We start from the raw sequence: 17,562 nt of genomic DNA, 5'->3' as shown, positions 1-17,562 counted from the left end.
GAGACTCACTCCCATTATCCTCCTAAAGTCAACCGATTGTGGTTGTTAATGACATCCACAAAAGTCCTTCACAGCCACACCTATATTAGTGTTTGATTAAGGAGCTGAGTGTTATGGCCAAGCCAAGTTGGCACAGAAAGCTAACGTTTCATGCAGCATACTCCTGCTCCAACAAAGCACAGATGATTGCAGATTGGGGCATACAAAATTAGAATCTCCATAGCACCAAGACCATCTGGTTCCTTTTGTTTCCATTTTATTCTCTTTAAACACACCTGCAATTACAGCATCAACATTCCAGTTATTTTGAAGACGTGGAAAATTCACGGAAGGATATTTTGTTGGGTGTGCACCTCTCCTCCGGGTTCAATTTCTGTATGAGTTCCGTCTTCCTTTCCACTCACTTTGGCATCTGAGGAAGTGCAGGGGAATGAACAAAGTTGGTTTTCCAGACTTGCAACCTGGGACTCAGAACCAGGTCCCTGGAAGACTCACTAAGATATGAGCACCTTTTATGTGCGTCCTTGGATGCCAGCCATGCTGAGTAACACTTCAATTACAACATGCTTCAAGAAACTCAATTATATCACCACTTGAAACAAGAAGGCAGATTATTTCCTGCTACTAAGTAGTTAAAATTTACTTGTTAAAATCGAAATGTTAATATTCCCAGAAAAACTTCTTTGATACTTTAGCAATTAATTCCCTGAACTTTTTCTGTTTTTTTGACTCTGTCCTTTTACATAATTACACCTATACCCAGTACATGTCTGATTCTCCTCATCTCAGCTCTGAATTATTATTTATTCTGCAACCCCATGACACCACTTTTTGTGCATACCTGCCACTTTGAAATTTCTCTAGAGTAGGCAAATGACACACCACAATTCCACATTTTATCACTAGATTTCTGAGAAGAGCCAGGTCATTCAAAGATAGATCCTACCACTAGATTTTTATATATTTTTTAAAATGGTCAAATTTGAAGTATTTTTTCTTAGTTTGCATTGATACTTTTATAATAGTATTTCTCTTCTTAGACATACTACCTAATGTTGACCTATTTATGTTTCACCCTTGAACAAGAGTCAAGAGTAATTTTTCAAATTTTGATTATTTCATAAAATAGATATATCAATGCAGTAATGTTTCCTTTTTAAATGGCAAGAAACAAATCATTTTGCATATATATACTGAGGAGAGTAAAGATCACTTGATGACCATCTGGAGGCAAAACCCCTTATCTGAGGCATTCAAGAAGAAATTTATAAGTAACTAGAATTTCTATACATCTCTAGAATGTACGCATGTCCAAACCCATTGTGCAACCTTTGCTGACATCAAGGCACCAAAATGTCTACGTAACAAATATGGCTGGAATTATCCTTCAGCTCCTGCTCCAAGGTCCGTAAGTAACCCTAAAGAAAATCCACCACAGTGCACTGGGTCCTCCCTTGCCGAAGCTCACCCCTCTTCACTCTGCTGCAGTGTTCTTTCTAATACAACTTTCTTTTTCAAACCTATACCGTTGTCTGTAAATTCTTTTTACCACCTGTGAGCCAACCACTCTGCTACAGGGGCCTCTGACACCTTGCACGGGCATATATAAAACATTTTAAAATATATGTGTGTGTGCATGAAAAAATGCTCATCATCACTGGCCATCAGAGAAATGCAAATCAAAACCACAATGAGATACCGTGTCACACCAGTTAGAATGGCGATCATTAAAAAGTCAGGAAACAGCAGGTGCTGGAGAGGATGTGGAGAAATAGGAACATTTTTACACTGTTGGTGGGACTGTAAACTAGTTCAACCATTGTGGAAGACAGTGTGGAGATTCCTGAGGGATCTAGAACTAGAAACACCATTTGACCCAGCCATCCCATTACTGGTCATATACCCAAAGGACTATAAATCATGCTGCTATAAAGACATATGCACATGTATGTTTATTGCGGCATGATTCACAATAGCAAAGACTTGGAACCAACCCAAATGTCCATCAATGATAGACTGGATTAAGAAAATGTGGCACATAGACACCATGGAATACTATGCAGACATAAAAAAGGATGAGTTCATGTCCTTTGTAGGGACATGGATGAAACTGGAAACCATCATTCTGAGCAAACTATCACAAGGACAGAAAACCAAACACTGCATGTTCTCACTCATAGTTGGGAATTGAACAATGAGAACACATGGACACAGGAAGGGGAACATCACACACCGGGGCCTGTCGTGGGGTGGGAGGAGGCAAGAGGGATAGCATTAGGAGATATACCTAATGTAAATGACGAGTTAGTGTGTGCAGCAAACCAACATGGCACATGTATACATATGTAACAAACTTGCACGTTGTGCACATGTACCCTAGAACTTAAAGTATAATAATAAAAAGAAAATAAATAAATAAAATATATGTGTGTGTGTATAAAACTGAAACATATGAAACACATGGTGTCTAGAGTATACCAACTCTAGTGGATACTGTTGTTATCCATTTCAGATTCAGTCCCTTCACGGGGATACCACATCTAGTCACTAGAACCTGTGAGTATTGGCTGCTAATCACACACAGCTTCGTTCTTTTCCAGAACTGTATCCTTCAAGTTTCTCCAGCCTTGTTCCTGTTGACATTTGAAGTTGGTAATTTCTTGTGATGGAGGCTCTGCTCTGCATTAGGGGATGTTTAGTAGCCTCCTTGGACTCCACCCACTAAATGCCAACAGTGAAACCACCTTTGCAAAATTGTAATGGAGGAAATTATGACAGAGAAAGTAATCAGACCTAACTGACTCCATCTTGCTTCTAACATTTAAGCTGCCCTTGTTCGTTCCTGGGCATAGGCCGAACTAACTTTGGGAAGGAATTCAGTTCATGGTTTGACTCTGAAACAAAATTGATAATAGCCCTTTCACAAAAAGACCCCCTTCTTGCATGGGGACCAGTCTGCCTTTGCAGGACTAACAAATTAGCTACAAGATTAGAAATTGCCGTTTAGGGGTCATGCAGCCTCTGTCTCCAAGAGTCTGAACCTCCTCAAATTGCTTCTGAGGATAACGTCTGTCTCCAAGAGTCTGAACCTCCTCAAATTGCTTCTGAGGATAACGTCACTATTGTATAACCTAAGATAGTGCTTGAGATATTTTGCAGCCCCTGCACTGGATCGATCAGCTGACAGCACCCAGACAGGTAATCTGGCTCAACCAGTTCTGCCATCCCACCCAGGAACAGAAAACAGCAAGAAAACCTCACTTCAACCCCCTATGATTCCATCTCCAACCTGACCAATCAGCACTCCCCACTTCCGAAGCCCCTGGCCCCCAAATTATCCTTAAAACTCCGATCCCCGAATGCTCGGGGTAGACTGATTTGAGTAATAATAAAACTCTAGTCTCTAGCACAGCCGGCTCTGCGTGAATTACTATTTCTTTATTGCAATTCTCCTGTCTTGTTAAATCGACTCTGTCTAGGCAGCAGACAAGGTAAACCCACTGGGAGGTTACAATAGCATCCCCAGTTGGGAAAAGCAAAACCATCTCCAGATATTGCCACATGTCCACTGATAGGCAAAATCACCCCTTGTTTAGAAATATCACCCTAGGCTGATAAGAGTCAAATTGCCTGGGAATGTCAAAGAGGTTACACAGCCCTCTCCTGGGTGATCCCATTCCAAGTCCTCTTCTTTCTCTTCCTGCTCCTCCTCCTCCTTTTCCTCCTTCTCCCCCTCCTCTTCCTCCTCCTACTCTTCCTTCTCCTCCTCCTCGCCTACCTCAATGAGGGCAGCTCTGTGGTGCTTTTTTTAATTGAAGACCTCCCTGTAGGATGGGCAGAACTAGACTCTAGCTGAAGTTACAAGTTAACTAAACTTCTTCCTCTGCCCTATCTGCTTCCTTACCCTAGAGTAAGGATAGAGCAGGATGAGCTTTAGGAAATTCAACCAAGACAGCAAAATATTTTAGCGTGTTTATATTTCTCCTGGTCCTCCTCCTCCTGCTCCTCCTCCTCCTCCTCCTCCTCATATTCCTCCTCCTCCTCCCATCCCCCAGTAAGGACAATTCTGTGGTGCTCTTCCCACTCAAAACCTCCCTGCAGGATCAGCATGAAGCTAGACTCCAGCTAAAGGTACACCTTTGCTGAATTTCTCCTCTGCCCTAGTCTGTTTTTCTTGCTTACTCTCATAAATTTTTCTTTTGAACACATATTACTCTCAACAAGTCACCTGCACAAGAGCACCTTACCCTTGGGTCTGCTGCTCCAGAATTCAGCCCAAGATAAAAAAGTATTTCGATATGTTTATATTCCTCCTCCTCTTCCTCTTCCTCCTCTTCTTTCTTCTGCTCCTCTTCCTCCTCCTCTTCATCTTAATAGATGCTATGCACGAGGTATTATGAGATAGTTCACGTATCTTCATCCTTATCATCTTCCATTTCTATCCATTAGTACATGGGGCTTCACAAGGATTAAGAAACTTGCCTGCTGTGTTATGGCTGATTAGTGACAAATAGGGGGTGCATTAGGCATATGTTTTAAAATAATTCTACACATAAACACTGCAAAAGAGCTTTGCCAGCTCCAAAGTGCTCGACCCATGAGCCTGTCATTTTGCCTTCTGACAAGGGGGCACAGATTTAGCTAAAAATGAATGTCACATGGTGTTTTCCCCAAGCATGCAGTGATGTATCTTCATCGCTGTTTTGATTGAAATGCTGTGCAAAGATGATTTCTAAAGACAAACATCTGTTTTGAGCACAGAAGCAAAAACACCTGGAGCATGTATTGTATTATAGATGCATTATTGTGTGAGTATGTACCTGTGTGTTCATGTGTTGGACTCTTGCAATATGCATTGAAAACTTAGCAAGGTGTAAGAGGTCACAACTGAATATACTTGTTTGTTGACAGAGTTAAAGTCCCACCTGGTGCCCATTTTTCCACACTCAAAAACTACAGTGTGGTTGTTTATAGAGAAGGCACCCAGTAATTAGTTTTGTAGGCTGAGCCAAATTTTTGGTTTGCCTGATTATTTGCTGGAGGGCTGAAGGTACAAAATATATCATTACATTTGGGCTCCCAACCACCTAATTTAATTCACCCATGCAGAAGTTGTCTTGCTCGAATAAGAAAATAAATGAAGCTCAAGTCACCTTCTTGCCCTTGTGTTGTTTATTTGAAGGGTCATCTCTACCTTTATGATCCGTGAACATCTAGAGTAACAGACACACTAAATTTCTGAGGGAAGCAAGCTTTTAATATTTCTAAATTCTAAACAACCATACACATTTGTCTATGTTCCTGGACCAACAAATTTGTGTCTGTTTTCTGCCACGTTTGATCCGATACTATTATATCTGTATTTTGAGAAAGGTAATTTTTTTTTATAATGGGAGATAGAGTTATAAGATAAACCCATTGTAACTCCTGCCATTATTTCAAGGATAGAGCATTCTAGGTTCAAATCATCTAATCTAGAATATCATTTCTCTTGGTCAAAGTTGGACGGAACCTCGTTAGTCTCAAGATATGTATTAGTCCTGCCAGGCAACACCGGCAGTCTGAAAAGATTGCATTTCATTGACTGAATGGTGGCCTCTGCCAGCCTTGCCTGCGAGAATCATTTAGCACTGCCTCATAAATAAATGCAGACTGCCGCTTTCCCCAGGGCAGCCTCTGTGGAAGGACTGGACTTCAGCAGCAGCAGCTGCAAATCCGAGCTCACTCTCTGCTGAGTCTCTGCAATTTGGGTGGCTGCTAGATGAGTCCCCAGCTCATTTTCTCTTTCCAGAGTGCCTGAAGAGGAGCACATTTCTCTGCATGCAGAAGCTGGGTTACTCTCTGCATGTCCACCTCAATTTCAAAGACCACTGAGAGCCTCTCAGTTGGAGGTGACCTCAGAACCCTCCAGACGACTTCTGGTTCCCTATAGTTAGGTGAGACTCTCTCAAGCCCTCTCTAACTTTGGTAGAAATTTTTCTATACCACTCATATGCCAAGGAATTAGATAATTATTTTGAAAATAAATTTTCCGTGTATAGCTGATATAGGTATAGCTAGTACATACGTAGCTAAGTATGTATAATTTTATATAGGAAATTTATTTTAAAAATAGCTAATATATATGTAATTACATATAACTAATATATGTAGCTAATATATAAGTAATTACATATAGCTAATATATACATAATTATACCTAGCTAATATATGTAATTATACATAGCTTATATATGCGATTTTATATATAGCTAATATATATGTAAATATATAGAGCTAATATATGTAATTATATATAGGTTATATATGTAATTATATATAGCTAATGTATATATAATTATATATACCTAATATATGTAATTTTATATATAGCTAATACATATGTAACTATATATAGCTAATATATGTATATATAACTAATTTGTTTGCAATTATATACAGCTAATATGTACGTAGCTAAATATATGTAATTTTATGTAGCTAATATATAAAAATATATAAAGCTAATATATGTAACTATATATAGCTAATATATGTAATTATATATAGTTAATATGTATACAATTATGTATAACTATTATATATGTAGTTAATATGTATGTAATTCTACATAGCTAATATATATGTAGCTTCTATGTATAATTATATAGTATAATTACATATTTATTATTACTTAATATATAAATACTTAAATATCATGTTATAATTACATATATATTATTTTATGTTATAATTATTAGAATATGCGTAAAAGATCAGAGAGGTAATATATTTAACAGATATCCCAAGAATTATATAACCTGTTGTACATTTAAAACTTGTCTTTCATTAAGCAAAAAGATGTGAGGTCTTTTTCCAGAACATCTTTTGTGGTTTTTCAGATGGACAGACACTGAGGAAATCGTTTCTCACTAGGTGGGCAGATAGAATCAGGAATATAGACAGGGCATGGAAGCCTGACCAGAAAATATCATGGCATCAGTTCAACGCATCCCAAAAACTCACTTAAAAGCCAAAGGCAGGCCGGGCGTGGTGGCTCACGCCTATAATCCCAGCACTTTGGGAGGCCGAGGCAGGTGGATCACCTGAGGTCGGGAGTTCAAGACCAGCCTGACCAACATGGAGAAATCCCATCTCTACTAAAAATACAAAATTAGCCAGGTGTGGTGGCACATGCCTGTAATCCCAGCTACTCGGGAGGCTGAGGCAGGAGAATGGCTTGAACCTGGGAGGGGGAGGCTGCAGTGAGCGAAACTCCATCAAAAAAAAAAAAAAAAAAAGGAAAGAAAAAAAAAAGCCAAAGACAAACAAATCATCTGACAGCTGCAAAGAAAAGTGCAAGTCCCTATGTTTTGTTTTGTTTTTCATTCTATTTCCAGAGGTTCTTCTTTCCTGTCTTCCCTTCCCTCTCATCCTTTTTTTTCATTCCTTCTCTCCTTCCTCTCAATCTGCTTGAAAAAAAAAGGATTTTTGTTCACTCAGCATAGTTTCGTATGATTTTTAGCTGCTATGCAAAATTATTCAGAATGAGCAAAAGTCCTTTTTTTTGCTCATAATGAAAACATAATAATTATGACCCTTTGATAATTATTTGATTGTGATGATGGTAAGGGAAAGAATGTAAAGGAATGTCAAAACACTTTTCGAGAAGCCTGGGATAAACTTCACATTTTCCATATTCAACTTAAGCCCGCTTACAGGAGAGCATTTTTGATAATAAACGTTAACTTCTTTGCAAGGAAAATATCAATTTTGTTCTTTATTTTGCTTTAATAGAGTTCATGTTCATGCTCATGTTTTTGCACTCTGGAGCCGCGGTGGATCGTGGATTGTATTCCAAGCAGACAACTCTTCTAAAGGGATGTTTAAGTGCTATGGAATCTTGAATGCAGGATCCAAAACCTGCCTGATGGGAGACAGCTGGCACCTTGAGCAATGCATGCATATATTTTGTCTCTAAATAAACTAAGGTCCACAGACCAGTGCCATTAGCCAACAATTTGAGTATCCTTGAAATCCATCTGGATGCCCAGCACACACATTTTTTTTTAATTTCCATTTTTATTTTGTATTCAAGAATACATGTGAGGGTTTGTTACCTGGGTATGTTGTGTGATGCTGAGGTTTGTGGCATGATTGAATCTGTCACCCAAGTACTGGGCATAGTACCCAATAGGTAGTTTTTCAACCCTTGTCCCCCTCCCTCCCTGACCCCTAGTAGACGGCAGTTCATATTGTTCCCATCTTCATGTCCCTGCGTACCCAATGTTTAGCTCCAGCATGTAAGAGAGAACATGTGGTCCTTGATTTGCTGTTTCTGCATTACTTGACTTAGGATGATGGCCTCCAGTTGCATCCATGTTGCTGCAGAGGATATAATTTTGTTCTTTTTTATGGCTGCATAGTATTCCATGGTATAGCTGCACCACATTTTCTTTATCCAATCCACAGGTGATGTACGCTTATGTTCATTCTATGTCTTTGCTATTGTGAATAGCAGCATACACATTTATACAGGGTCCCAAGAGAACCGTGTGCCATTTGTGTTTCCAGAGCTAGGCAGAGGAGTAGGATGGGGGAAACAGGAATCTAACAATCTATGAACAAGGAGAAAGTATATTTTTATCTAGCAAGGAAAAAAACACATCTCAAAGCCATCACTCCCCTGAACTTCGTATTTTTGCTAACATCACATCCCTTAGATAAAGGAAATAAAAAAAATGTTTAAAATATTGCTATTAGAGTCAGGCTGAATAAATACATCACCAAGAAAGAAAAGTTATACTGTCTTCTGTCCTGCCCTCCAGAAGGAGTTTATACTTTAGAACATAAAACAATTCAGCGACACCTTTCACTTTACTTTGGGGTTCCAAGACAGAGACTTTATAAAATATACTCTCAAACAAATAGAAAGAGCTTCCTGCCCCCAGGAGACATTTTGGCTCTCTCAGAGCCTGTCTCCAATATTTATGAATGACCCTGAAGCTCCTTGTGGGGAGATTGGTAAGTCTCTCTTTGAGAATTACTGAGAGCACACCCCCAGCAGGTAATACCTAGGACCATTCCTGGTAGTTCTGCTTGTTGGTTAAATCCTTCTGCATGGCTTCCCTTGGGTCATTTAGTTAAAGAAATGCCTTTAATTTCTTCATGAAGTAAAATAAATATATCATGGTTAACAGATAATAAATATTTGAATGCGGTAACCAAAGATTAAACATACTCTCACAATTTGAGTTCGATATTGCTATATTACAGACATAGCATCGATGGAAAAATTCTAAACAGATAAGGAAACCCTGGGGTACACACGGATGTTTGATATTTCTCCCTTCAATATTGTGTACTGCACTGGATCGAAAATGTGAATGTACCAGCAATATTTTTTCTCCGTTGGATTTTACGCCAAGTCAAATGAATATAACAGGTAAGTCAGGATATAGGCAGTATAAACATTTGTGTGCAGGTTTTTTTGTGCACATAAGTTTTCAATTCAGTTGGGTTAATAACAGGAGCATGGCTGCTGGATTATATGGTATGATTACAATTAGCTTTGTAATAAATGACCAAACTTTCTTCCTAAATGACTTTACTCACCAGTAAAGAGTGAGAATTTGTGTTTCTCTGTATTCTTGTCAGCATTTGGTATTATAGAAATTTGGGATTTTAGTCATTCTAGTAGGTGTGTAGGGCTATCACATTGTTGATTTAATTTGCAATTCCCTAATGAAAACTGTTGTTGAACATCTTTTCATATGCTCATTTGCCATCTGTATACCTTAGCTGTTGTCTGTTTAAATACTTTGTTCAGTTTTTTAATTAGAATAGTTTGTTCTCTTATTTTAAGAGCGCTTTGGTAAGAGCTTTTGGTGTATGCTGGCTACAGATCTTTTACCGGACATATATTTTGGGTATATTTTATTCTACAACCTGAGTTTCCTTTCAAGTTTTAACAGTGTATTTCATACTGTAGAAGTTTTTAACTTGAATAAAGTCCAACATTTTCTGTCTTTCATAGATTGTGCTTTTAGATTTAATTAACTTGATTGTGGCAATCATTTTACATTATATTTAGATATGTATGCATATACATATGTGTGAGTGCATGTATGTATGTGTATTATACGGGTTTGTGTGTGTGTATTTGCAAATGAGATGATTTTATTTTTGCAGAGAATCCCCAAGATGTAACAACAAAAATGCCTCTGGGAATTAATAAGTGTCTATACAAAGATGACAGGACACAAGGTTAATATACAAAACTCAGCTGATTGCCTGTAGACAGGCATAAGCCAGTAGACATTAAAGAAACAATTAAAGGGGTCTTTGAGAAATGGCTGAATCTAGGGCTGGGGTCAGAAAATACTCATAGTTGTGTGTGTATAAATTTAAGGTGTGTAGTGTGATGCTTATATAAGAATCACATTGCACACAATTTTATTCATAAATTATATCTCAATAAATACAGGGGTGTACTCAACAAAAGTACCTCATGAGCAAGCCAAAGACATGGAGATTTTTTTCCTATTTTTTTCTAGATGTTTTACAGCTTTTCATGTTACATTGAAGTTCCTGATCCATATTTTGTTAATTTTTGTAAAAGGTGTAAGGTTTTTGTCTTCCAGCAAAGGTACATTCCATTTTTTTCAGCATCATTTGTTGAAACGGCCACGTATCCCTCCATTGACTGTCTTCGCACCTTTGACAAAGATTCGTTGGTCGTATTCACATGAATCTATGTCTTGGCTCTCTGTTCTGTTTCATTGCACATGTGTGCATTCTTTTAATAATACTATGGTCTCTCCATGGTTGTAGCCTTTCACTGCTTGAAACTGGATCATTTGACATCTCCAACTTTGTTCATCTTCTTCAGCTTTGTGTTGGCTATTCTGGGTCTTTTGCCATTCCATTTAAACTTCAGAAACATTTTGTCCCGTCTACAAAATAGCTTGCTGGTATTGTGATTGAGAGTACATTTAACTGATACATAACATTAGAAAGAATGGCTATCTTAATTGTATTGAGTTTTCAAAAACATGAACATAAAATTTCTCTCCATTTCCTCAGATCTTCTTCCATTACTTTCATCAGAGTTTTCAACTTTTCCACATACAGATCCTGTACAGATATTATTAGATTTATTCCTAAAATATTTGTCTTTTGGTGATATTGTTAATAGGATCTGGGCTTATTTTGTGTTTTTCCTGCCCCAACTCTAGAATCAGCCATTTCTCAAAGACCCCTTTAATTGTTTCTTTAATGTCTAGTTTCTCAGGCCTGTCAATAGGTAATCAACAAATTTTTGTATATTAACCTCGTGTCCTGTAACCTTTGTATAGACACTTATTAATTCTCAGAGGTATTTTTGTTGTTACATCTTTGGTATTCTCTGCAAAAGACAAAAAAACTCATCTGCAAATACAGATGATTTGATTTTTTTCCCTTCCCAATCTGCAAATTTATTACTATTATTATTATTATTTTGAGATGGAGGCTCGCTCTGTCGCCCAGGCTGGAGTGCAGTGGTGTGATCTCGGCTCACGACAAGCTCCGCCTCCCGGATTCACGCCATTCTCCTGCCTCAGCCTCCCGAGTAGCTGGGACTACAGGCGCCAGCCACCACACCTGGCTAATTTTTTGTATTTTTAGTAGAGACGGGGTTTCACCGTGTTAGCCAGGATGGTCTCGATCTCCTGACCTCATGATCCGTCCGCCACGGCCTCCCAAAGTGCTGGGATTACAGGCGTGAGCCACTGCGCCTGGCCTTAACTTTTTTTCTAGCTAGCTAGGACTGGGGATTCAATACTATGTTATACAGGACTGTTGAGAAAAGTCATCCTCATGATTTTGCTAATATTATGAGAGGGAGATAATCCAGCTTCTCACTGGATGTTAAGAATAACATTATAAATGTGTTTTCTTGGATATTTTAAAATCAAGTTAAGGAATCATCTCCTGATTCTAGTTTGCTAAGAATTTTTATAATAAGTATTGAATTTTTGTCAAAAGCTTTATCTGCATCTAATTATAAGTTCAGATGATTTCTTTTGCCTTCTTTGGACCACTGATATGGTATATTACATTCATTAATTTTAAAATGTTGAAACTATTTTGCATACTACAAATAAATGCCGACTGGTTGTGCAGTATAATTACTTTATTTCTTTTCCCCTCCTTTTTCAGTCTTTCGTTTTAATGAAGCATTTTGTATGACTGCAATTTCCCTTTAGTTTTCACACATTAATTCTACTTCTTTTAACAAATGTATTCTTTTACCTAGGATTATTAATATACCTTTTAAATTAAATTACTTCCCACCTCAAATATCGCTGAATCACTTCCTGTATAGTTTGAGTAATTTATAATAAAGTGTTCCCAATTTCTCTGTCTTGTTCACTATAACATTGCCTTAATTCATTTCATTGATCTGTATGCTACAATCACTCAATATATTATGATAATTACTATAAAGAAATAGTTATCTATTATATCAATTAAGTATAGAAAAATAAAAATATTTCATTCTACATTTTTTATTCCTTCTTTGAAGTTCCCTTTTCCCTTACTAGATCCAAGTTTCTGAACTACAGCATTTTTCTTCAACCTGAAGAACCTCTTCAAACATTTCTAGTGGGCCTGTCTGTGGAGATGAATTATTTGAGTTTTTATTTTTATGAGAAAGTCTATTTCTTCTTCACTTTTTGAGGATAATGTTATTAGATACAGAATTCTAGGTTGATGGTTGTTTAGTTGTTTTCTTTTTTTTTATTTTTTATTTTATTATTATTATACTTTAAGTTTTACAGTGCATGTGCACAATGTGCAGGTTAGTTACATATGTATACATGTGCCATGCTGGTGTGCTGCACCCATTAACTCGTCATTTAGCATTAGGTATATCTCCTAATGCTATCCCTCCCCCCTCCCCCTACCCCACAACAGTCCCCAGAGTGTGATGTTCCCCTTCCTGTGTCCATGTGTTCTCATTGTTCAATTCCCACCTATGAGTGAGAACATGCGGTGTTTGGTTTTTTGTCCTTGCGATAGTTTACTGAGAATGATGATTTCCAATTTCATCCATGTCCCTACAAAGGACATGAACTCATCATTTTTTATGGCTGCATAGTATTCCATGGTGTATATGTGCCACATTTTCTTAATCCAGTCTATCATTGTTGGACATTTGGGTTGGTTCCAAGTCTTTGCTATTGTGAATAGTGCCGCAATAAACATACGTGTGCATGTGTCTTTATAGCAGCATGATTTATAGTCCTTTGGGTATATACCCAGTAATGGGATGGCTGGGTCAAATGGTATTTCTAGTTCTAGATCCCTGAGGAATCGCCACACTGACTTCCACAATGGTTGAACTAGTTTACAGTCCCACCAACAGTGTAAAAATGTTCCTATTTCTCCACATCCTCTCCAGCACCTGTTGTTTCCTGACTTTTTAATGATTGCCATTCTAACTGGTGTGAGATGGTATCTCATTGTGGTTTTGATTTGCATTTCTCTGATGGCCAGTGATGGTGAGCATTTTTTCATGTGTTTTTTGGCTGCATAAATGTCTTCTTTTGAGAAGTGTCTGTTCATGTCCTTTGCCCACTTTTTGATGGGGTTGTTTGTTTTTTTCTTGTAAATTTGTTTGTGTTCATTGTAGATTCTGGATATTAGCCCTTTGTCAGATGAGTAGGTTGTGAAAATGTTCTCCCATTTTGTAGGTTGCCTGTTCACTCTGATGGTAGTTTCTTTTGCTGTGCAGAAGCTCTTTAGTTTAATTAGGTCCGATTTGTCAATTTTGGCTTTTGTTGCCATTGGTTTTGGTGTTTTAGACATGAAGTCCTTGCCCATGCCTATGTCCTGAATGGTAATGCCTAGGTTTTCTTCTAGGGTTTTTATGGTTTTAGGTCTAACGTTTAAGTCTTTAATCCATCATGAATTAATTTTTGTATAAGGTGTAAGGAAGGGATCCAGTTTCAGCTTTCTACATATGGCTAGCCAGTTTTCCCAGCACCATTTATTAAATAGGGAAACCTTTCCCCATTGCTTGTTTTTCTCAGGTTTGTCAAAGATCAGATAGTTGTAGATATGTGGCATTATTTCTGAGGGCTCTGTTCTGTTTCATTGATCTATATCTCTGTTTTGGTACCAGTACCATGCTGTTTTGGTTACTGTAGCCTTGTAGTATAGTTTGAAGTCAGGTAGCGTGATGCCTCCAGCTTTGTTCTTTTGGCTTAGGATTGACTTGGTGATGAGGGCTCTTTTTTGGTTCCATATGAACTTTAAAGTAGTTTTTTCCAATTCTGTGAAGAAAGTCATTGGTAGCTTGATGGTGATGGCATTGAATCTATAAATTTCCTTGGGCAGTATGGCCATTTTCACGATATTGATTCTTCCTACCCATGAGCATGGAATGTTCTTCCATTTGTTTGTATCCTCTTTTATTTCATCGAGCAGTGGTTTGTAGTTCTCCTTGAAGAGGTCCTTCACGTCCCTTGTAAGTTGGATTCCTAGGTATTTTATTCTCTTTGAAGCAATTGTGAATGGGAGTTCACTCATGATTTGGCTCTCTGTTTGTCTGTTATTGGTGTATAAGAATGCTTGTGATTTTTGTACATTGATTTTGTCTCCTGAGACTTTGCTGAAGTTGCTTATCAGCTTAAGGAGATTTTGGGCTGAGACAATGGGGTTTTCTAGATATACAATCATGTCATCTGCAAACAGGGACAATTTGACTTCCTCTTTTCCTAATTGAATACCCTTTATTTCCTTCTCCTGCCTAATTGCCCCAGCCAGAACTTCTAACACGATGTTGAATAGGAGTGGTGAGAGAGGGCATCCCTGTCTTGTGCCGGTTTTCAAAGGGAATGCTTCCAGTTTTTGCCCATTCAGTATGATATTGGCTGTGGGTTTGTCATAGATAGCTCTTATTATTTTGAGATATGTCCCATCAATACCTAATTTATTGAGAGTTTTTAGCATGAAGGGTTGTTTTCTTTCAACACTTTAAATATTTTACTCCATTCTCTTCTTGCTTGCATGGTTTTTGGTGAGAAGTTCACCGTTTTGCTTGTTTTTTTAATACTCAGCTCACTGCAACTTCTGCCTCCCAGGTTCAAGTGATTCTCCTGCCTCAGCCTCCCAAGTAGCTGGGATTACAGGCGCCTGCCACCTCCCCCGACTAATTTTGTATTTTTAATAGAAATGAGGTTTCACTATATTGACCACGCTGGTCTCGAACTCTTTACCTAAAGTGATCTGCCCTCCTTGGCCTCCCAAAATGCTGAGTTTACAGGCGTGAGCCACTGTGCCTGGCCAATTCTTTTTAAAATGTATTTATGTTTTTATTTTCATAGGATATTGGGGAACAGGTGGTGTTTGGTTACATGAGTAAGTTCTTTAGTGTTGATTTGTGAGATTTTGATGCACCCATCACCCAAGCAATATACACTGTACCCAATGTATAGTCTTTTATCCCTCAATGTGTGGTCTTTTATCCCTCTCCCACCCTTTCCCCCAAGTCCCCAAAGTCCATTTTGTCATTCTTATGCCTTTCTGACCTCATAGCTTAGCTCCCACTTACGAGTGAGAACATACGATGTTTAGTTTTCCATTCCTGAGTTACTTCACTTAGAATGATGGTCTCCAATTCTATCCAGGTTGCTGTGAATGCCATTATTTCATTCCTTTTTATGACTGAATAGTATTCCATGGTGTGTGTGTGTGTGTTTGTGTGTATCACATATATATATCACATTTAATTGTGGATAATTCTTCATCCATTCATTGATTGATGGACATTTGGGCCAGTTCCATAGTTTTGCAATTGCGAATTGTGCTGCTATAAACATGCATGTGGAAGTATCTTTTTTGCATAATGATGAGAAGTCCACTGTTAATTCTTGTCCTCATTTATCTATAGGGAAGGTGCTCTTCAACCCCCTTCCCAGCTTTTTTCAAGAGTTTCTTTGTTTCTGGTTTTCTGCAGTTTGAAAGCAAAATGCTTAGGTGTAGCTGTTGGTATTCATCTTGCTTGGTGTTCTCAGAGGTTTCTAGACAATGATCAATGTCAGCCATTAATTCTAGAAAATTCTCAGCTATTCTTACCTCAAACACTTTTTTCTGTTCCATTCTCTTTTTCTTCTCCTCTGATATTTCAATTATAAATAAATAAGTCACAACTTTTGTAATTATCCCACAGTTCTTCGTTATTCTGTTTTTGTTTATTTTATTTTTTTATCTTTCAATTTGGGGTGTTGTCATCACTGAAACTGGGTCTTTCTTCAATTATTTTTAGCATGTTATTTTGTATTGTGTTACAGTATTGAACCCTTCTAGGGTATACCTAGTCTGTTTAAGATGCTGGGTGAACTGATCATCCATGGGTTACATAAGCAAGCATGGAAACTGGGTCTCAATAGGATATGATTGATCATCTAGAAACAAACCAACACCTATGCGTTGGGCATTCTGGAATTTTCTGTTCAGGAATTTATAGCTTGTATAATAAAAATGTTGCCAGTATAATATAAAATTCCATCAATGGAACAGCAGTAAAAAAAAAAAAAGAAAAAACAAAACAAGAATAACAACAACTTATGGAAACAACTATCCTCAAGGCACTGCTAATGCCTTTTTTGAGCAAATTCTGTTTTCTCTCCAGTGTAATATTTCTGCCATACCAGAGCACTGGGCTTGGATTAAATTAAGTGGTTTACTGACTTAGTTAAGTCACTAGAAAAGAGAAGAAGAGAAATTACCTTTATTGAGTTAACAGTTATATATCAAATAGCATACAGGACATACATTATCCAATGTTAGTCTCACTATATGATGGCAAAGGCTAGCATATATTATCATTTTCCCTGCTATCCACTAAGGCAGGACAAGAGTAGGTAACAGATTTCAAAGCCAGGGTTTCCCCTGCCACAGAACATAGGCCTCCTTTTAATCTCATCTTTGCTTTCTTTCTCCCTGCATATAATTAGGGCAGAAACCTCTTTTATTTTAATCATATCTTCATCCTTGGATCTCAGTAAGGACCTAGCATACATTAGACACTAGGTATGTCTTGCATACACACAGAAAGAGAGAAAAATTGGGAGGCCATGTCAGTTTGACTTTGATATGGTTTTGCTGCATCCCCATCCAAATCTCACCTTGAATTGTAATAATCCCCACATGTCAAGGGCAGGGTCAGGTGGAGATAATTGAATCATAGGGGAAGTTTCCTTCATACTGTTCTCATGGTAGTGAATAAGTCTCATGAGATCTGATGGTTTTATAAATGGGAGTTCCCCTGCACAAGCTTTCTTGCCTGCCACCATGTAACACATGACTTTGCTCCTCATTCGCCTTCCACCATGATTGTGAGGCCTCCCCAGCCATGTGGAACTGTGAGTCAATTAAACCTCTTTCCTTTATAAATTACCCAGACTTGGGTATGTCTTTATTAGCAGGGTGAGAACAGACTAATACAGTCTTCAATACTTGTACCCTTTTATTCGCAAGACGTGCTCTGATACTTTGGAAACATTGCTTAACCTGCCTTATTCTAATTTTCTC

Source organism: Homo sapiens, chromosome X (assembly GCF_000001405.40).
Source record: "Homo sapiens chromosome X, GRCh38.p14 Primary Assembly".
NCBI lineage: Eukaryota > Metazoa > Chordata > Mammalia > Primates > Hominidae > Homo > Homo sapiens.
The sequence above is the reverse complement of the archived record's forward strand: the minus strand, read 5'-3'. Positions refer to the sequence as shown.